At 51.6% G+C, this 21,278-nt stretch overlaps 1 protein-coding gene across 5 annotated transcripts in view, besides 2 other annotated features; it reads right to left on the reverse strand.

Annotated features, from left to right (window-relative positions):
- The window catches only part of CAMK2A (calcium/calmodulin dependent protein kinase II alpha), a 70,640-nt gene that overhangs the window by 31,712 nt on the left and 17,650 nt on the right, over positions 1 to 21,278 (reverse strand). For all 5 annotated transcript variants that reach the window (NM_001363990.1, NM_001363989.1, NM_171825.3 and 2 more), the window contains 7 exons: positions 13,754 to 13,813; positions 6,361 to 6,415; positions 5,564 to 5,629; positions 5,371 to 5,443; positions 2,242 to 2,344; positions 780 to 863; positions 548 to 642 (listed from right to left, as the gene is read on the reverse strand). In NM_001363990.1, coding sequence (NP_001350919.1) covers positions 548 to 642; positions 780 to 863; positions 2,242 to 2,344; positions 5,371 to 5,443; positions 5,564 to 5,629; positions 6,361 to 6,415; positions 13,754 to 13,813 — 536 coding nt within the window. The remainder of the gene's footprint in view (positions 1 to 547; positions 643 to 779; positions 864 to 2,241; positions 2,345 to 5,370; positions 5,444 to 5,563; positions 5,630 to 6,360; positions 6,416 to 13,753; positions 13,814 to 21,278) is intronic.
- Positions 6,241 to 6,424: a silencer, noted in NCBI's record as "fragment chr5:149637006-149637189 (GRCh37/hg19 assembly coordinates)". NCBI's record gives its function as "represses an EF-1alpha promoter that drives an FKBP-Casp9 reporter gene in an ReSE screen in HepG2 liver carcinoma cells {active_cell/tissue: HepG2}" and the evidence as "EXISTENCE:reporter gene assay evidence [ECO:0000049][PMID:32094911]".
- Positions 13,486 to 14,021: an enhancer, noted in NCBI's record as "H3K4me1 hESC enhancer chr5:149644251-149644786 (GRCh37/hg19 assembly coordinates)". NCBI's record gives its function as "activates a minimal SCP1, AML or CMV promoter by ChIP-STARR-seq in primed H9 embryonic stem cells {active_cell/tissue: H9 hESC(primed)}" and the evidence as "EXISTENCE:reporter gene assay evidence [ECO:0000049][PMID:30033119]".

A 21,278-nucleotide genomic window follows, 5' to 3' on the forward strand; every position in this document is an offset into this window, starting at 1 on the left:
AAACATACGGCACAGAGCTTAATAGCTATCTGCATAAAAGCAATATAGCTTGGTAGTTAGAAGCATGGATGGTAGAGCCAGACTGCCTGGTTCAAATCCCACCTCTACCATTTCTTAGCTGTGTGATCTAGGCAGTTACTTGACCTCTCTGTATGTCAGCTTCTCTATATGTAAAATGGGAATAATAACAGCACCTATATCATAGATTGGTGTGAGGATTAAATGTAATAATATGTGTAAAACATTCAGAGAGTGCTATAGAATTGTTAGCTATTATTATTTGTATATATGAGAGAGAAACAGAGAAACCCTGGCTTGGGAGGCGCCTCTCCCCTACTCCTCACTCCATTTTGGTGCTGCTTCTTGCCTTCTGGGGCAAGATAAATCTCCAATCATTAGGCACAGCATGGTAACCACCTGGCCCTGGTCAGTCTTCATGCTCCCCTGGGGTTCACCCCTGTGCCAGAACTAGAGAGTGGCTTGGCGCTGGCTTTCACTGGAAGGGCACCAGAGGATGATGGGAGCTGAAGAGAGGAGCGACACTCACATCATAGGCGCCGGCTTTGATCTGCTGGTACAGGCGGTGCTGGTCCTCATCCCAGAACGGGGGGTACCCAACCAGCAGGATGTACAGGATGACCCCTGGAAAGAGGACCAGAGAACCTTCAACCCCCTGTGGGGAGGAGACATGGGGGGAGGGGAGTGATGGGAAAGGAGAGAGGGGGCCCCAGAGGCCGGGGTGCAGCCAGGGGCACAAAAGGGCCTTAGGATGAACTCACCACAAGCCCACAGGTCCACAGGCTTCCCGTACGGGTCCTTCCGCAGCACTTCTGGGGAGAGATATCCAGGAGTCCCTGCAAACCCTGCTCCCAGACACACAGACAGGCAGACACATACACAGAGGTTGTCTCGTAAGTAACCTGGAGCAAGATCCTGCTGGAAGAGGGGATGAGGATTGCTCTGGAGCTGAGGAAAACAGCCCCTGCCCCTCAGGTGCACTTGGGCTTGTATTGTGCAACCCCAGTCGGCCCAAGACATAAGCCTGATGAGCCAGCAAAGCCTCTAGATCAGATCGACAACTACCTAGCACACCTGTCACCACTTCCCACTTCAGAGCCAGTGGTAATCAGCCACAGAACTCCTTCCTACTGGGTCCTGACTCAGGATCATAAGCTTCTCAGCACCACTCTTCCAGGAGCCACTAGTGATCCATTGCTGGTGGCTTCAAGATGAAATGCACCTGCCATGTCAGCCCCAGGCTGAGAGCTAAGCCCACTCTGCACCCCCTTGTTGGAGTTGGTCATGGGATGTCGGGAGGCCTGTCCTAACTGACTTTGCCCCTTGGGTACGTCTCTTTATCTTCTAGTCCTTGTTTCCTCATCTGTCAAATGAAGGATTAGGGATTCCTATCTTAAGTGCCTCCCAGGGTTGTTGAGCCGGTCAGTTCAAATAATGGACACCTGAGGTATTCTAACAAGCACTTTTAAGAACACTTACAAGTTACCGAGTGTGTATGCTAAGCATTGGGCTGAGCACTTCATATGCCTGGTCACATTTAATTCTGACACCACTCCTGAGGGACACACAATTATTATTCCCATTTTACAGATGAGGAACGAAGGCACAGAGAGGTGAAGTGACTTAGCCAAAGTCACATACCTCATAAGTAGCAGAGTCGGGATTTGAACCCAGAACTCTGGTTCTTAACCATGGCTCAATATTGCCCACTAAAAAGTACTCCCAGGTAGCTTAAAGAGACCCAGTTATACCAAAATCACAAAGCAGGCTGGATCATCTGAGTTAAGTCCTGGTCTATCCCTTTTAAACTTTCTTGACCTTCTGCAAGTTTTCTGCCAGTTTTTTCCTCATCTATAAAATCAGGATAATAATCTCAAGCACCTAGACTATTAGGGCAGCTCTGTGGAAACTTCCCTAAGGCCTTCAACCACAGGGAGCCCTTTGGGGAGGAGAGATGGCGGAGGGGAGTGACAGGAAAGGAGAGAGGGGGCCCCAGGGAGCCCTGTGGAAGGCCGTAGGGTCCCATGCCTGAACCCTGGGGACACAGATAGGTGCTGCCCACTGGCTCAGAGGCTGGGTGGGACAGGGCCTCTGCTCTACCAGCCCCGGCTGGCCCAACAGCATCTCCAGCCATACCCACTCAGGCAGGGGGTTCCCAGAGGCTTATGTGTCAACACAAATGGGTGCTGACCCCCAACACTTCTGCCAGCCCACCCCACTTACCAAACCATGCCTGCTGCTCCCCCTCCACCTCTATGGCCAGGCCAAAGTCTGCCAGCTTCACTGCGGCACCCTTGAGCTTGGAGGCCAGCAACAGATTCTCAGGCTTGTCAGGACCAGAGAAGAGGGAGGAAGGGGAGGAAAGCGCCAAGAGACAGTCAGCAGATTCAGAGCCTCACCTCTAGGGGCCTGGGCTCACAGGAAGAACAGCCCGGCCCTCCGGGGCCCCTGCTTTCATCTCCAGCCCCGCCTCAGGCTCCTGAGTCTCAGTCCCCAGAGAGGGGACTATCCTATGGCAAGACCTCCATCCGCTACAACAGAAAGGCCCTTTCTCCATCAGCCACTCCTCCCTCCCCACTTCAAGATCTGGGGCTGGGCTGAGGTGAGAGCGGGGTGGTACATTCACCACCACAATAAAGCAGCAGCAGCAGCAGCAGCATTGATTGTGCCCCTACTATATGTCAGCTGCTGGGTTAAGTGTTCTGCGTGCATCATCTCTTGTATCAACGACCCTTTCGGGTAGGTATTATTACCTACATCTTCCACAGTGGCCTTCCTATGCCCCTTGAAACAGTCCATCTTGTTTCCACCTCAGGGCCTTTGCACTTCCTGTTTTCCTCCTCTAATTTTTTCTCCCCCAAGCTTCAAAGTGGCCCCTTTACTTTGTCCAGCCCTCAGTCTCATGTCACCCCATGGAGGAGGCCATCCAAGTTTACTCTATCTAGAGGGGAAGCCCTCAGGCATCCTGTGTCTTTGCTCCTGTTGTTACCTTCATAGATCTCATCACAATTTGCAGTGTTTTCTCCCATCTGTCTATGTGCTTGTTTATCATCTGTCAGCCCTGGGGAATGTGAGTTCCTTATCTGTCCTGTTCACCACTGTATCACCAGCACCTAGGTTGGGGGGCCACACAGCAGGCACTTAATAAGTATTTGTCACGTATATAAAGATGAGAAAACTGAAGCTCAGAGAGGTTAAGTGACTTGGCCAAGATCACGCAGCTGGTAAGGGATAGAGCCAGAATCGAGGCAAAGTCTGACTCTATCTTAACTGCTCTAGGCTGAAAGATGATGAGGCTTATACATGGGGCCAGCAGCTGACTTGGGAAGGTCCCACACCTGGCCTCTGGGCATCGAGGCTGCTGCTTTGCACTGGCTCAGCCTCCAGAATTCCTCCACTTCCTGCTGGTCCCTTCACCCTGAGACTCAGGATGGAGGGGCGCTAAGACTGTGGGCTCGCTTAGATAGTCCCAGTTTCTGATCCCGATGCTGCCCACCTCTATGCCATGACATATGGGCAAATTATTTCACTTCTCTGAGCTTTAGTTTCCTCTGAGAAAAATGCTTACCTTATGGGGTGGTGCATGGATTAACTGAGATAATCTGTGTAAGCACTTCGCTGTGGCCTACAGTAAGTGCTTGGTAAATGTTAGTACTTCTATTTTTGGCTTGGGGAGGGGCTCAGAGTCTCTGAAGACTGTTGGTTTTGAGTCCTCCTCTGATCCCCTTCCCAGTGGGACTTCTGAAGGGTCCCACCTCTGACCTTTCACTGTCTAAAGCTAGGCTGGACCCAAACAAATATAGCTCCCTCCGCCTGGCTCAAAGGCCTCCTTTGTCCTCTGGGGACAATGTTCCTAACATGTCCTGGGTCTCGGTAACCGTCCTGCCCTGATTTGATGAATGTGTCACTAATTATTATATCCAGAGTGGCCTAAATTTGGGCTGCCTCTCCTCCTTCCTCCTCCAGTGCAGGGGCTGCAGCTATAATGGGAACAGGCCCTCTGGGAGAGGTGCCCTGCAGTCTGGCTGGAGACCCTCTTGGAGTGCACACTCGTCTCATCTAGACTGAGCCACAGGGAGCTTGCCTAGGGCTCAGGAGAGAAGCCGTGTCTGCCCAGGACAGTCAGAGAGGGGCAGGGTCTCTCTTCAGAGCATTGTGCCCCAAAGAGGGACCCAGACCAGTGGAAGCATGCCCAGGGAAGGTGCCCAGGATGAGGCTGGCCTGAAAATCACACTCCGGGAGGACCGTGGCAGGGGTGGGTACACCCTGCAGGGGACTTAGCAGCTACAACAAAGCTGCTGGAGTCCGTCTAGGGCTCTTCCAAGCTGGAGGTTTGGTCTCTGTGTGGTTCCAAATGGCAGAACTGAGGTTCAGGGCAAAGCCCCTCCAGCAGGGAAGAGTGTTCCCCAGTGGTGCAAGGGGCTACCCCATGGGAAGTGAGTTTGCTGTCACTGAAGAACAAAAAGCAGAGGTTTGATGGACATCTGGCAGGGTCACCCTAGAAGGGGCTGCTGAGGAAGCAGGAGCTGGATAGAGTGACCTTTTGGCACCAGACTCCCAAGGTCACAGGATCAGGGGTTAGAAGGCCAGAATTCCCCCGCCCTAGCTAAGGACAATTGAACTGCATGTTCTTGGGCAAATTGCTTGAACTCTTAGGCCTTAGTTTCCTGCTCTGCAAAATGGAGACAATATGAACTACCAGCCACTGATACCATGAGGATCAGCAGCGGAGATCCATGAAGTCCCTGCTGAAGGAGCAAGGCTGTGCAGCTGGTGCCAGTCCTAGACTCTGCAATCTCCTTCAGGTAAAAGAAAGGAGAACTGCACGGGCCTAGAGTCTGGTTTTTCTTCTCCCCTGGCCTGCCAGAGATGCAGGAACAAGACTAAGAATGCATCTGTATACCAGGCCCCGTGCTATCTCATTTCATATCCTCACCAACCCTTTGCAGAGGTTGCTATGGCAACCCCCATTGTGAAGAATCTGAGGCTCAGGAAGGTCATGCTACTAAAGGCTGCATGGCTGGAAAGTGGCCTGGTTGAGATTTGGACCCAGCCTGCCTTCTTCCCCACCCACCGTAGCCAGTCATGACAGTATAACTGCAGCTCACCCATCCTGGCACAAAGCATGTGGGCTGGGAGTTGGAAGAGCAGGGGCCCAAACACAGACGCTCTACCTTCCTGAGCTCTGCTTCCTCATCTGAACAGTGGGGAAAATAATCTCACCCACCCCACCTTCCAGCCTAACACAGAGAAATTAAAGCGATTCTGATAATGTCCAGCTCTGCAGGATTAGGGACGTGCAGAGGAGAGAGGGGCTCCCGGGGTGAGCCACACCCACGGTGGGTTGCTCACCTTCAGGTCCCGGTGCACCACCCCCATCTGGTGGCAGTGCAGCACAGCCTCCAGGATCTGCTGGATACAGTGACTAGGGAGAGAGAGAGGAAGGGGTCATGGTGGTGTGAGCACAGGCCTCCCCTGGGAAGCTGACAGCAGGCAAGAGTGCCCTGTCCCCGGGTGCCATTGCCAGGCAGCACCTGACACTCACCTGGCATCCGCCTCACTGTAATACTCCCGGGCCACGATATCTTCAAACAGTTCCCCACCAGTGACCCTGGGGAGACAGGCATGGAATCACCCTCTAATAGAGGCGACAGGTGCTGCCTCATCTGGAGGAGTCTCCAGGAAACTAAGGATGGGGCCCAGGGACCTCAGGACCTCAGCCACAAAAGGAGGGGCCCCAGGGTCACGGGGGTGTCCCCTGCTGCAATGCCCTTCCTGTCTTCCAGAGCACCCTTCCATTGACTCCAGTCCCCTCTCCTCCTCCATCCCCGGCCCTTCTTCCCCACCTAACCCAGGCTGGAGTCCGGAGGTTAGGGAAAGTCAGAGCACATCACTAGGCTCATTAGGAAGCCTATGGCCTCCCCCATGATCAATATCTCAAAGGCTATTTTTTATCGATGAGACTGGCCCCATCACTGATTTTCATTGCCATACCAGGAACTACTGTGGCCTATCATTTCATTATTGCTTCTCTTTGAATCAACACTCCTCAAAAAAAAATTAAACATATTCCAGAAGGAAACTTTATATTGCCACTGAAAATGGAAAACCAGCATCACTGGCCACAAATAGAAGAGAAGCAAAAATAAATATAGGATGAAAGCTAAAAGTGTTTGTTGGTGTTTTAGGAAAGTCAGCTTGCACTGCTTGGGTGGCAGGCCCACCACATTTGGGGAAACTCTGGACCACAAGAGGGAATTCAGCCCAAGAGGTCCAGTGAGGCCATCACTGGTTAGGCAGCCCCAACACCGTTGGCGCATCCCAGGGCGGGGCCAAACTCACAGGTCGAAGATCAGGTAGTGGTGTCCCTCCTCTGAGATGCTGTCATGTAGTCGGACTGTGGGCGGGGCAAGGCAGTTGGTTACAGTGGGACACACTGCTGCACAGGCCCGCCCTCCCTCTCTCCCCTCCCGTGTATATCCAACACCCCCCGCTCCCAGACAGTCACTGAGTATACACCAGGTGCCAGGTGCTTTGACAAGCGCTGGTGAACAAGGGCTCACTGCATTGAGTCCGAATAGACCTCAGGCATTACTGAAAGAGGGCTGGGCTTCAACATGAAAGATGCCTGTTTAGGTCAGAGTTTAGCGCCCTCCCCTCTCCGAAACCCTGTTTGGTTGCTGGGCAGGCCCAAGTCATGGAAAGCCTGTGACTCCAATCTCTGCCACTTACTAGCCGTGTGACTTCTGGCAAGTTGCTAGGCCTTTCTGAGCCTCTCTTTCCTTGCCTGGACAATGAGAATGAAACTCCTGGACTTGCAGGCTTGTTATGAGAGTTCCAGGAGGCATGCAGTTGGTGCTCACTCAGTGCTGCCTGAGCTAATATCCTGCTCTGCTCCCAAGTCTGAGGAGATAATGGAGCATGGAGGCCAGAGGCAGGAGTGAAAGGGTCCCTGCGTTCTGGCATGCTGAGGAGCTGTCATCTCTTCACACCCCATTTACCCAGAACAGAGGCAAAGCTCCCAGGAGCCCAGGGCTCCCAGCATGCACCCCTGAGCTATTAGAAGGAAGGGCCTGAGTCCTGGGGCTGACTCTGGGACCACATCCTGTCAGTCAAGAGCAAGTCTCACAGGACAGGGCTCACATCCTTCCCCGCACCACAGCCTAAAAATGTCCATGCAGGGGCGTGCTGGCTCAGTGAATGACGATTCATCCGCACAATGGAAAATGGCACAGCTGCTAAAATAATGCGGCAGTTATGTATCTACTGGTTCAGAGTCATCTCCAAATTATGTTGCTTGGTGAAAAAGCAAAGTGCAAAACAGTATGCGTAGTACTTTTTTAAAGGATGTATTTAAGTTTATATATGGCATAAGTCTCTCTGGAAGAATACAGACAAGCAGGCACTGAGGGTGCCTCTGGGGAGGGGAATTGGGGGAGTTGGGTCATGAGAGGAGACTCACTTTTCACTATGAATCCTAGTGCCATCTGAATGTTTGCCATGTGCATATATTTCTGGCTCAATATTGAGTCCCCTGAATTGTTTATGGCTGTCGTATTTGCACATAAAATTTGGAGAGAGGCAGGCATCAGATACCCCAGAGCTGATGCCAGTAGGGAGAGGTGGATGGGCACCAGAGATGGAGAGGGAAGGGGCACAGATTAAAATGAAAATTTAGGCTGGGAGCGGTGGCTCACGCTTGTAATCCCAGCACTTTGGGAGGCCGAAGCAGGTGGATCGCCTGAGGTCAGGCGTTTGAGACCAGCCTGGCCAACATGGTGAAACCCCATCTCTACTAAAAATACAAAAATTAGCTGGGTGTGGTGGCCCATGCTTATAATCCCAGCTACTCCAGAGGCTGAGGCAGGATAATTGCTTGAGCCCAGGAGGTGGAGTTTGCAGTGAGCCGAGATCGTGCCACTGCACTACAGCCTGAGCGACAAAGCAACACTCCATCTCAAAAAAATAAAAACTAAAATAAAATAAGATAAAATAAAATAAAATAAAATAAAAATTTAGGCCAGGTGCGGTGGCTCACCCTGTAATCCCAGCACTATGGGAGGCTGAGGTGGGTGGATCACTTGAGCTCAGCAGTTCAAGACCAACCTGGGCAACATGATGAAACCCCATCTCTACAAACAATACAAAAATTAGTTGGGCATGGTGGCACAGGCATTTGTCGTCCCAGCTATTTGGGAAGCTAAGGTGGGAGGGTTGTTTGAGCCCAGGGGGCGGAGGGTGCAGTGAGCCAAGATTGCCCCACTGCATTCCAGCCTAGATAATAGAGTGAGAATGTCTCAAAATAATCACAATAATAATAAAATGAAATTTTAAAACATTCTTTAATGATGATATATATTTATAAATAATAACTAAAAGATGTTTTAAATATATTCTAAAGCAAAATCTTAAAGGCACATGTAATTCTGCTTTAATTCCTTTCAACATTTTTTTATAAAAAATTCAGGCCGGGCACGGTGGCTCATGCCTGTAATCCCAGCACTTTGGGAGGCCGAGGTGGGCAGATCACCTGAGGTCAGGAGTTTGAGACCAGCCCGGCCAATATGGCAAAACACCGTCTCTATTAAAAATACAAAAATTAGCTGGGTGTGGTGGCAGACGCCTGGAGTCCCAGCTGCTCGGGAGGCTGAGGCAGGAGAATTGCTTGAACCCAGGAGACGGAGGTTGCAATAAGCCGAGATCATGCCACTGCACTCCAGCCTGGGCAACAGAGCAAGGCATCATCTCAAAAAATAAAAAAAATTAAAAATAAAAAAAATTCAAACATACAGTTAAGTGAACACCCAGATATCCACTACCTAGGTTCTATCATTAATGTTTTCCTATACTTGCATTATTACGTTTCTATCCATTCCTCTGTCCATTGGTTTATTTAATTTTTAGTACATTTCAAAGTAAATGCAGGCTTAATTTTTAAAGTGTAAATGTGTATTGGCCGGGCACAGTGGCTCACGACTGTAATCCCAGCACTTTGGGAGGCTGAGGCGGGTGGAACACGAGGTCAGGAGATCGAGACCATCCTGGCTAACACAGTGAAACTCCCTCTCTACTAAAAATACAAAACAAAATTAGCCAGGCGTGGTGGTGGGCACCTGTAGTCCCAGCTACTCAGGAGGCTGAGGCAGGAGAATGGTGTGAACCCGGGAGGCAGAGCTTGCAGTGAGTCGAGATCACGCTACTGCACTCCAGCCTGGGTGACAGGGTGAGAGTCCGTCTCAAAAAAAAAAAAAAAAAAGTGTAAATGGGTATTTAACTGTATTTTTGGTGTGTAGAATCTGGCAATTCTATACCTGGGCCCTGCCCAGAAGCCCTTTGGTAAGTTGGTGCATCCAAACCCCACGTGCTGGAGTGCGGGATGCTAACAGCACCTGAATCCCTGACTCAGGCTCTGCTTCCAGGTAACCTGACCTGAGATGATATATGTAAGTATACAGTCCTTGAGAAGGCACATATGTCATATATCATATGGTAGCACGTATCATTAAATGTTAATTCTAGATGTGAGGTTATAGAAGATACTTTAAAAAGTATTTGTCTTCTCATTTATCTGCAATAAACTTGTATTGTTAGTGTATCAAGATAAAGTTTTGCAAAAGACTCTTCCCTCTCCCTGCCTTCCTCCACGTGGTCTCTGGGGAGTGAACCCTCTCCTATTCTTTCTGGTGGGCCATCATCTCTAACCTCCCTTTCCTGAGTGTAAGAAGCTCTGAGAAGCCAAGCTGCAGCTAGAATCATCTCAGAAAGGGCTTTTAGAACCATGGCAACAGGCTTTGGAAGGAGCCACAAGAAGACTGGAGTCCCAGATCTACCCTCTGACCCAGGGCCTCAGCCCCTTTAGAGAATGTCCTCAGGTCTCAGGGAAATGGACAGAATTGAGGGAGGTTTTCTCCAGAGCTGACTCTCCCTCAGATGGTGACTTTGTGTTGATGGTAAGAGGCTACCCCTCTGAGCAGCTGGGCAAGGGGCACATGGGTTGGAATTCAGCCCCTACGTTTGCAGTGCACCACACACGTGATGGTACTAGAGTTGGCTTCAGTCCCTGAGGTCGAGTCACACCTCAGAGCCCAGGAGACAGGATTTCTTGTTTCAGGGCCGTTTTCACACACAAAGCCTCCCCTTCCATCAGTGGAGGCTGCCTGAGGAACGACTCAGCCAGAGCCCAAGATTCAAGGGCCATAGGCTATCATCATGGTCCTGTCTCCTGGTGGAGTGACTGACGTGTCCGTGCCCATTGAGTCATTCTGTCACTTTTGACTGTTTAAAATATTGTCATAGAACAAACAAATCTGTAACCTAGCTTTTTATTTATGTGGCTTGATTCATGCACTTCTGGCATGCCTGTGATTTTCCGACAGTGGATTTTTTTCTTGGAGGTTGAAGGACAGTACTTGTTCCCTTATTTGCATGTCCCCCTGACACCATATATGTGATATCCACTTGGAAAGCTAAATAGAAGGACTGGGAACAAGGGCTCTGGAGTCAGACTTGCGGAGTTCGTCTCCCAGATCCACCTCTTACAAGCTATGTAGCTATGGGCAAATGACTTAACCTCTCTGAGCCTCCCTTCCAAACAGTAATGCTAATACCACTGGACTGCTATAGTCATTAATGTGATGATTCCTGTAAGCCACTTAGCACAGCACCTGGCACTAGGAAGAGTTCGATAAATGGAGATATTGTCAACTTCATCACTGACCTACCATACTTCCCTTCCCCACCACAAATCACCTACTAAACTTTCAGGTTGTCCCTAGCACAGTGCAAGTCCCCTGTGCCTTGGGGTGGCCTTCTGGCGTCTCCCTCATCTGCAGGTGGTGATGGTAGAGACAGCAGGTTACCGACCTCTCCCAAGAAGGATCTGGGAGGTAAATGCTTTGTGCACAACACAGTTGGACTGACCTGTGCTGAGCCTCACTGACCTGGTCCCCTGGGGACTGGACTGACCTGGGACCTCACTGACCTGGACCCCTGGGGAGCAGAGCAGTGGCCACACAGAAGCAGCGACCAGTAGTAACCTTGTCTAGATTGGCCAAGCAGGCTGAACAGGACTCAGTCCAGTGTCTTTAGGCACAAGCTCACCTTTCGGGTTTTGAGCCCACATCTGTACCTCTTTGCACGTCTTTGGGAAGATTACAATTTTGAAGGAAGATGCTTGGAGGATCAGGAAGTGCACCCTCCAAGGAACCTTCCAGCCCTGACAGCAGCTCAAAGCTCCTCTGGGGTCTTCCTGTGCTGGATGCTCAGCTCTGCTTTCCAGTCCCGCCTGCGCATCGCCACCACCCCCACTCCCATTCCCCATCCTCACTTCTCCTGCACATTCTCAGTGCCTAGCAGAGACCTTGGCATGGGGTGGGTCTACGATGCACCTGACATCAGGTGAATGAAGGAAGGAGTAAATGACTCAATGATGATGATGATGATAGCTACCATTTCTGAGCTTTTACCACACACTAGGCTTTGTGCCAAGTGCTTTACTTAACGCTATCTCATTTTACCCTCCCAACAGTCCTAGAAGGTGGGTGCTGTGATTATCCCCACTTCATAGAGGAGGATACTGAGGCTAAGAGGTTCACAGTCTGCCCAAGCTCAAACACTTAGTTAACGGCAGAGCTGAGATTGAAACCGGGTGTCTGACTGCAAACCCCATTCTCCTAACCACCATGTTATATATAATATAGTGCCTCCAGTAACCACTAAAAATCCTCATGGCCCCGAGGAATGACAATCATATGGAGTTTTAGGCAAGAAGATGTCTTCAGGCAAGGTTGTTCTGATGGAAGGTGTTGGTTGGGGAAGAGGGGGGCAGCTTAATGATAATGACTGTCATTGTGCTGTGGTCTATTTAATCATCACAATCCTATGAGCTAGTTATCATTTCCATTTTGCAGAGAAAACTGAGCTTCAAAGTGGTGGAGCTACATGTCCAGGGTCACACAGCAATGAAGCAGCAAACTCAGGATTTGAGCTGTAGTCTGTCAGCTCCAAAGCCATAACCTCCTGCTCCCCATTTTATAGCTGGGAATGAGAGGGAGAGGGAGGTGTGAACATGAGGAGGCAGTGTTGACCTGAGATAGCTGCAGTTGTGCAGCAACACACACACACATTCACACATTCACACACACTCACATACATGCACTCACACAGACATTCACACACACACACTTACACAGACTCACATACGCACATTCACACACACATTCACACACTCACACACGTGCATTCACACACTCCACACACTCTCACATACACTCACACACTCACATACACACATTCACACACACACTTACACAGACACACATTCACACACACTCCAACACTGTCACATACACACACACATACATGCATACACATACACTCACACGCACACATTCGCACTCACACTCACATTCACACACATATTCACTCACACACTCCACACACTCTCACACACTTAACACACACTCCCCTCCTTCCACTGGAGCTGGTAGCCTCCGTAAGGACCATAAGATCTTACAGTCAGAGATCACTCTCAACCCCCTCCATCACACAGCTGGGGGGTTGGGGGCCCAGAATAGGCAGGGGCTGCTGAAGGCCACATGGTGAGGACATTAGTAGGTCAGGGACCAGGGTTCAAACAGGGCTGCTCCCTGCCAACCCAGGGATGTCTCTCTGATGCTGGTCCCGGAGCCTCTGGCTGCTGTTTGTGCAGGGAAGGGGAGGTGCCTTCTGGGTATAAATAGCAGATGGAGATGCTTCTCTCTGGCAGGAGAGTTAACCCTTGGGGCCCTGGGCACGGAGAGAGGCTTCCCTGCCTTGTGAGAAGGCATGGTGGCTGTCAGAGTTGGAAGAGTCCTTAGCGATCACCTAGGCCCTGCTCCTCAGTGCGGTCTATGAGTCAGCAGGCTTGGCATCAACTCAGAGAGTGTTAGAACTGCAAAATCCTGGCCCCATCCCAGGCCCAGTGAATCCAAGTCTACCTTTTCACAAGGTGCCCAAGATGCTGGTTCAGACAGACCTTCCCTCAGAGGATGGGGGGAAGTGATTCAGAGAGGGCAGTGCTCCTGCCCAAGGTCCCACAGCAATTCCCTGACAGAATTAGCCCTCAAAGCCACACTTCCTGCCCTCATGACTCAGCACCCTCATAGGCAGGGATCAGCCCCCCAATTGCACAAGGGCTGAAGAAGGGGGGCCAGGCAGCGAGGTGTTGTTTCAGAGCCCATCCCCACGGGTTCTGCTGCCCTGGCTCTGTCCCAGCCTGCCATGGCCCAGCCTCTCCATGCAGCCTGTGCCCGGCCTGTGGGCCAGGGCCTGAGTTGGAGCTTGACCCTGTAGGCAGGCAGGTGCCAGGTCGACGGAGGAGGGCAGGGCCACGGTGCCAGGCTGAATCGGCATGGGTGTGGGTATGGGGAATGGGCCACAGCGGTCAAGGCCAAGCATGTCCCCCTGGCCTATTTTCATCTCTCCCAGAGCTTTAGAAGTTTTCCTGAAACAGCTTTTCCGGAGGCTGCCGGCAGTGTGGGATGGGAGGAAGGGCCTTTCTTCACCTTCCCCCGAAACAAGCTGGCTCTGAGGAATGTGGAAACCATTAAAGACGCCCCCTTTCCCATCTCTGCTGCCTCCATCCCCAGAGAAGAGAGCAGCTGCTCTCCACCCAACCCGCAAACACCCACGTGCCAGGGTGGGCAGGGGAGCAGGGCCTGGCTCCCCTGCGCCCCTCTCATCCCACAAGGCTCACCGATGTTGGGGTGCTTCAGCAGGCGGCAGATGCGGGCTTCACGCTCCAGCTTCTGATGGTCTGAAACACAGAGGCTCATGTGAGTCCCCGGTGAGGAAGGAACCATTACCCTCCATCTCCCCCTTCTCAAAGCCTCGTATTATCTCCACCTCCCAGGGCAGCCCCTGGGGGCTGGGAAAGCTCACCTTCTGGCCAGGGCCTCTGAGTTCTCCAGGAAGACCATGGGGTGCAGTGGAAAGAGGAAGAGGCCTGGGTTGCAGTGACTCAAGCACATCCCTCGCCCTCTCTGGCCTCCGTTTCCATGATTCTTAAATGTGAGGCTTCTCCGAGACTCCTCCAGGCCTGTTCCTCAGGCCCTATACTCTAGCCAGACTAAATGGCCGACTTCACCTCTACAAGCAGATCCCGCTGGGCCCTCTCACTTCAGGAGAGAATTGCACATGCGGTTCTCTCAGCTTGAAACACTTACTCTACCTCCCACCTGCCGTTCACTGGCCATCACTCACTCCTACCAATCCTTAGTCTCAGGCCCCTGGCGGCAGGCAGGGGCCCATCCTCTGTGCTTTCAGAGCCCCCGAACAGCATGACCCACTCAGTCTCATGGATATCTAGTTCCTTGAGGGCAGGGACTTCGTCTCTGTTGTACCCCTGACATCTACCCAAACACCTGGCACATACTAGGTGCTCAAGAAATAACTGAATGAAGCTGGGCACAGTGGCTCACACCTATAATCCCAATACATTGAGAGGCCGAGGCAAGTGGATCACTTGAGCTCAGGAGTTCGAGACCAGCCTGGACAACATGGTGAAACCCCATCTCTACTAAAAATACAAAAATTAGCCAGGTGTGGTGGCAGGTGCCTGTAATCTCAGCTGCTCAGGAGGCTGAGGCAGGAGAATTGCTTGAAGATGGAGGTTGGAGTGAGCTGAGATCACGCCACTGCACTCCAGCCTAGGCGACAGAGCGAGACTTCATCTCAAAAAAAAAAAAAAGAAAAGAAAAGAAAAAAGAAATAACCACATGAAAGAATAAATGATTGAATGAATGTGCCTTTCTAAGGGAGTGGCTATTCTTCCAGAGGGCTGTGTTGATTCCCAGAAGCCACCTCCCTTTCAGGAGACTCTGGGACCAGGGACACAGAGAGCCCCAAAGAATCTGCAGGGGCCCACCCAGAGCTCTCCCTCCTGCCTTCTGGACTGCTGTGCAAGTCTCCTGGGGCTCCCCACACACTCGGGAGAGAGGCCTTGTTCAGGATCTGCCACTGTGGCTTCTGATTCTCCAGCTGCTGGGAACAGTGGGACACATGATCCTACTCCGTGCCCCCAAGCAATCCTGGGCTGGGACCACCACTCTCCCCATTTTATAGATAAGGAAACTGCAGCCTGAACAAGCTGAAGCCTCCGTGGTGGCAGAGCTGGAACTGAAAATGCATTTCCCATTTTCCTTTTTGGTGCTTTTTTCACAATTTGGTAGTTAACGCCTTAATTTAACAAACAAAACCATAAAAAGAAATCTCTTTTTAAAAACTCTGTGCCAAGCACTGTGCAGAGGGCTTTATATGCCTTTCAAGCCCTCACTACAATCCTTTGAGGGGGTTACTATCATTTTTCTGGCTGTCCAGAAGAGGAGACAGAGCTTCAGAGAGGTTAAGTACCTGCCCAAAGTCAATCCCGCAGTGAGCAGTGGAGCTATGATTTTTACCCAGACAGTTAGACTCCAGAGCTGGGCTTTCAATCCTGGGCTATACTGTTCTCTGTGCCCCAGCTCATAACCACTACCTCCACTTGCCCCCAATTCCCAAATAGAAAAATTAAGACCCACAGAAGGAAACTCATGCCAACACTCAGACACCGAGCCAACACTAGAACCCTGGCCCTGAATGGCCCTCTCAGAGTAGGCAGGTATGCGGGTGGGGGGGTGGTGAGAATGAAGAAAGTTCCAGCCCTTGTTCCCAGGAATCCAGCTCCCCTTTCCCCTGCCCCCTTCACTAGAGCAATCACTGGCTGTCCTCCAAGGGCTGCAGAAGCCAAAATCAATACTGAAAGGTGGCTTTTCCACCAGCAAAGCAATTAAGTCCAATTCAGTTTCCATGGCTCAACTCCCCAGCTGAAAACCAGCTGCAAGCTAGGGATAAGGAGGTGGGGCCAAGTTGGGGGGCATCCCTTGATTCCTCCTCCCTCCGTGGGCTCCTTTCATATCCTCCAGGGTAGGGGAGGCTGACTTCTGGGCAGAGGAAGGGATGCCCATCCAGAGCTGACCAGGCGGGGCCCTCCCCCTGCTCCACGTCCCATGCCCTACCCCACGTCCCATACCCTACCCCCCATCCCACCTCCAGCAGAACCAGAACTCAGGCAGGTCAAGGTCAGGCCTGTCAGAGTGGGAAGGAGGCTTCTGGCTTAGGCTATACATTCAGGAAGCAGAAGCCCCAAATCCAGAATGTTGCTGTTTTCTCCCTGTGAGTTTACCCAGGAGCAGAGAATATTGACAGGATTGAAAGAAGAAAACGCTGGCCATGCAACTGTAAACTTGTATCTGGTTACCAGACCTTATTGCTGGAAATGCTAGGAACTAATTGTATAAATCTTACATCATCTTATGCATGGTACAATTAACCTGCATTTTCACTGTTGAAAGCATTCATCCTACTGAGTGTAAACATATACATTATACAATATTTCTGGTAACTCTGTTTGCAGTGTTTTCATTTTCCAATATACAGAGAACCTTAAGACATGTAGGGACCATGTTTCTTTTGACCTCCGAGGCCGTGTTCTGTTATATAGGTGGAGAAACTGAGGCCTGTTGACAAAGGAAGAGTCCCTTTATCAAAATCACTCACCAAAATCACTCTGAAAACTCAGAGCTCTGAGGCCTCTACCCCTGCATCTTCCCCCCACTCCTCCCCTCAGCCAAGGAGCTTTTTTTTTTTTTTTTTGAGACAGAGTCTCGCTGTGTCGGCCAGACTGGAGTGCAGTGACTCGATCTTGGCTCACTGCAACCTCTGCCTGCCAGGTTTAAGCAATTCTCCTGCCTCAGCCTCCCGAGTAGCTGGGACTACAGGCACATGCCACCATGCCAGGCTAATATTTTGTATTTTTAGTAGAGACGGGGTTCCACCATGCTGGCCTGGTCAGGCTGGTCTCGAACTCCTGACCTTGTGATCCGCCCGCCTTGCCCTCCCAAAGTGCTGGGATTACCGTGCCCGGACCCACCAAGGAGCTCTTTTTAAAACATCAATTAAATCCTGTCCCTCCTTGGCTTCCAACTCTCCAACAGCTTCCCAATATACTTAGAGCACAATCCAAACTCCTCACTGGGTCCGGCCTCACCTTCCGGCCAGGAAGCTCCAGCCACACTGGCCTCCTCTCTGCCCTGACACACCAAGCTCCTTCCCACCTCAGGGCCTCTGTACCTGCTGTGCCTTCTGCCTGGAAAGCTCTTCCCTGGGTCTTCTCATCAGGCAGGCCCCGGCACAACGTCACCTCCTTAGAGAGATTCCCTGGCTGCCTTTTCTAAGCATGTCCCTCCTGCCACATCACGTCCCCATACCCTGTCTTATTTTCTTGGTTAACACTTGTCACTACCTGAAGCTACCCAGCTGACATATGTGTTTAATGTTCTTTTCAGTCTCACTGCCCAGAAAATGGGCACAATGAGAGTAAGACCTTTTCTGTTGGTCACTGCCACGTTCCCAGGGCGTGGCATAGAGCTGCTAAGCAGCTTGTCCAAGATCCCATAGCAAACAAGTGGCAGGGCTGAGATTTCAATCCATGTACATAGCTACTATACTATATTGCTTCCCATTCTAATAATTTTTTTTGAGACAGGGTCTCACTCTCATTGTCCAGGTTGGAGCACAGTGGCAGGATCACGGCTCACTGCAGCCTCTACTTCCTGGGCTCAGGTGATTCTCCCTTCTCTGCCTCCCTCTTGAGTAGCTGGGACTACAGGCACCCGCCACCATGCCCGGCTAATTTTTTATATTTTTAATAGAGATGGGGGTCTCACCATGTTGCTCAGGCTAGTCTTGAACTCCTGGCCTCAAGTGATCCTCCCACCTCCGCCTCCCAAAGTGCTGGGATTAAAGACATGAGCCACCAAACCCAGCCCCACTCTAATAATTAATTAATTGATGAATAGATCCATTGGCTCAGCAGAGTCCCATGATGGTGAGAGATCTGAGGGAAGCTAGAAGTCTTCAGCCTCCTGCCTGGGGACCTGGGGGAGCTTTCCCCAATGCCCATGATGATATCTTGGGAACCTTTTTGCTTCCTCCCCAGATGGTTGGGTCACCTCCAGGGTGTGGGGGCTAAGAGCATGGCAAGGCTCAGCAGAGCTCAGCAGGCAGAGGTGGATGGACATTCTGGGGTGAGGTCCCTGGGGCCAGACAGTCCCAGCAGGGTGGGACAGGACAGGGCAGGCCTGGAAGACCTTCAATCACACAAATGGGCAGGACTCTACCTCCAGAAGGGAGTGGACTCCCCTGGGCTCGGTGATTCTCCCTCCTCAGTCTCCCTCTTGAGTAGCTGGGACTACAGGCACCCGCCACTACGCCCGGCTAATTTTTTATATTTTTAATAGGGACGGGGGTCTCACCATGTTGCCCAGGCTAGTCTTGAACTCCTGGCCTCAAGTGATCCTCCCAACTTGGCCTCCCAAAGTGCTGGGATTAAAGACGTGAGCCACCAAACCCAGCCCCATTCTAATAATTAGTGGACTCCAGCAGGCAGGCGGCCCGAAATTCCAGCAGGAGACACACAAGCCAGGAGAGAAAAGAGACCTGAAGTCTGGGAACAGGAAGTACCTGCTCCCTGCATAGGACAGCCTGATCCTGGGAGCAAGAGTGCCAGGCAAGGGGTAGGGAGGAGAACAGGAGAGATGGGAAGCACATGTCTTGCCGTCCCCTCAGAGGCTTCCTTGCAGGGAACTGAATGACACTCTAGTGCAGGCTGGATGAGCTTGTCATGCTCCCCACCTGGTGCCCCGAGACTTGTCACTGGGGAGCCGAGGAAGTGACCCCCTCATGCTCGAGCTGGAGAGTGGGGCCTGTGGAGGTCACAGTGCCCAGGCCAGTCACCTCTAGCTGCACCAGCCTCATGCATGTGCCCAATGCGCCCTTAGAATTCTACCTCTGTGTGTGCAGTGGGGAGGACGAGCTAGGAGGCTATACAGCACCTGATGGGGGTTAACACTGAGCCTGTATTATTGTATTAGGTTGGTGTTAATAGCTACTGTTACTGATGATAGGATTTTTTTAATGCAGGGGCTTGGGCCCCACCTACTGAATCCAACTTCATGGGTGGAACTCAGGCAGCTGCCTTTTTTAAAAAGCTCCCAAAGGTATTCGGCAGGGATTAGAACAGGCAAAATTTTCACTTTTCACTTCATTTCTTCATGGTTTCTTTGAATTGTTTATACTACGAACATTTTTTAAAAGACTAGATTAAAAATACATACACAAATATATCGTGGGTTTGGGAACCGCTTGCTAGAAGAGGCTGGGCAGGGTGGGCAAAAGAAAGCCACAGCTCCCGGGAGGGTGGGCACAGCCCCTGCTGGGTGCTGCCAGAAGTCACCCAGGAGCACCAGCAGGAGATGCTTAGAGTGTGTTGCCAAATATTCAGCATTAACCCCCCCTCCCCGCCCCCGAGGCACCATGAGCGGCAAACAAAGAATCCTGCTAAAAGAAGCTTTTGCTCCTCCTCTCCCGCTGGGAAGAAAAGCGGCTGGCAGTTGGCAGACTTTTCCAGAAGGTTCCCTGATAACCTCCCCACCCCCTCAACACTCACCTAGGCCGGGCCACCTTCCTTCCAAGAGGTCAAGGACTCAACAAGTTGCCAAAGAGAGGCGGTTTGGACAGTGACTGTCTGGCATAGCCCAGGGTCTGCACTGTCCCAGGAGTGCTTAGTCACCTTCCAAAACAGGAGCCATGGCCCTTCCACCCTCCCATACACATCTGTCTCTTTTGGTCAACGTGCAAGTGTGTGTGTGAATGTGCCTCGAGAGTGTGGTGAACTAACCCGAGATCCCCAGCATCCAGGGACCACCTTGGTGCCTGACCCTCTCTCCCACTGGGGCAATCTTAACCCGTCACCCCCTGTCCCTGTTGTATCTCAGGGATTGGGACATCTCCCTTGGTTACTCAACACCCAATGCACAGAGAGGGCACCAGACTGCTGCTAGTCACACAGCAATGGCAAGGCCAATCCAGGCATCTGGCCATGAGGCAACACCTCTGCTGGCATTCCTGCCCACCCTGTCTCTAGTTCCCAGCCTTCCACAAGCTTGGACTTTTCATACTGACTGTATAGCACGTGGGGCTCCTGGTCCTTCAGAGACCCTCACCCTAACCCCAGCCACCCCCTCTGCTGATCCTCTTTGACCTGCAAGACACTGGCGGGAGGTCGGTAACTGGAAGAAAGTGCTGAGCTCCCAGCAACACTGAGCCAGAGAAGAAAGGCAGCAACACACAGTCCAACATGAGGCCTGCCGGGAGGCCTGCGGGGAGCAGCATGAGCCTCCTGTACCAGCCACTGTGAGGACTGCCACGAACCTGCACCTGCTGGGCCCTGGCCCCACACAGCTGCGCCTATCAAACACCTGGACACTCTGCCAGCCCCTCACACAACATCTCCCGCACTGCACAAACCATGGATTGTACAGCCCATACCTGCACCCACCTCACCCAACAGAATTCCCTCCACCACCAGGCGGTCCCAAGGAAAGCTTATACACCATTTCATTCAGGGTGGGGACTGGCCTCTCTGAAGATAACCCTTTCCAACACACTGACCATGGTTACCACCATCACTGTCTCAAACACAGAGTAATGGCAAGAAGCGCATCTCCTGGGCAGGCTTTCCAAATTTTAACGTCCACAATCACCCCGGTGTCTTGTTAAAATGCAGATTCAGATTCTTCAAGTCTGGAGTGGGGCTCTAGGCTTTGCCTTCCTAACAAGCTGCTAGGGATGCTGATGTCGCTGGCCCAGGACCACTTCTAAGGTCTTAAGGCAGTGGTTCTCAAACTCATCTGCAAATTAGAGTTATCTGGGCATCTTTTCCAAAACCCAGATCACACCCCAGACCAACTCTCTGGAGGACCCGAGAGTGGCGTGGCTGAAGCCAAGCACACTTGGAGTTCACTGGCCCCTCTCTGAGTGCCAGGTGCTGTCCTAGGTGCTGGGTGCAGAGTAGCCCATACTCTTGAAGTTTACAGCCCAGAAAGGGAGGTGGGTATTAAACAAGGGGCCTAATCAGTAAACAGGATGAGTCTAGGTCAGGGAAAGCCATAAAGGAAATGAATAGTAATAAGAGAGAGAAAATAGGTTGGGCGTGATGGCTCACACGTGTAATCCCAGCACTTTGGGAGGCCGAGGCAGACAGATCATCTGAGGTCAAGAGTTCGAGACCAGCCTGGCCAACATGGTGAAACCCCATCGCTACTAAAAATACAAAGAGAAAAAATTAGCCGGGCATGGCGGTGGACGCTTGTAATCCCAGCTACTCAGGAGGCTGAGGCAGG

The sequence above is a fragment of the Homo sapiens genome, chromosome 5 (assembly GCF_000001405.40).
Source record: "Homo sapiens chromosome 5, GRCh38.p14 Primary Assembly".
Lineage (NCBI taxonomy): Eukaryota > Metazoa > Chordata > Mammalia > Primates > Hominidae > Homo > Homo sapiens.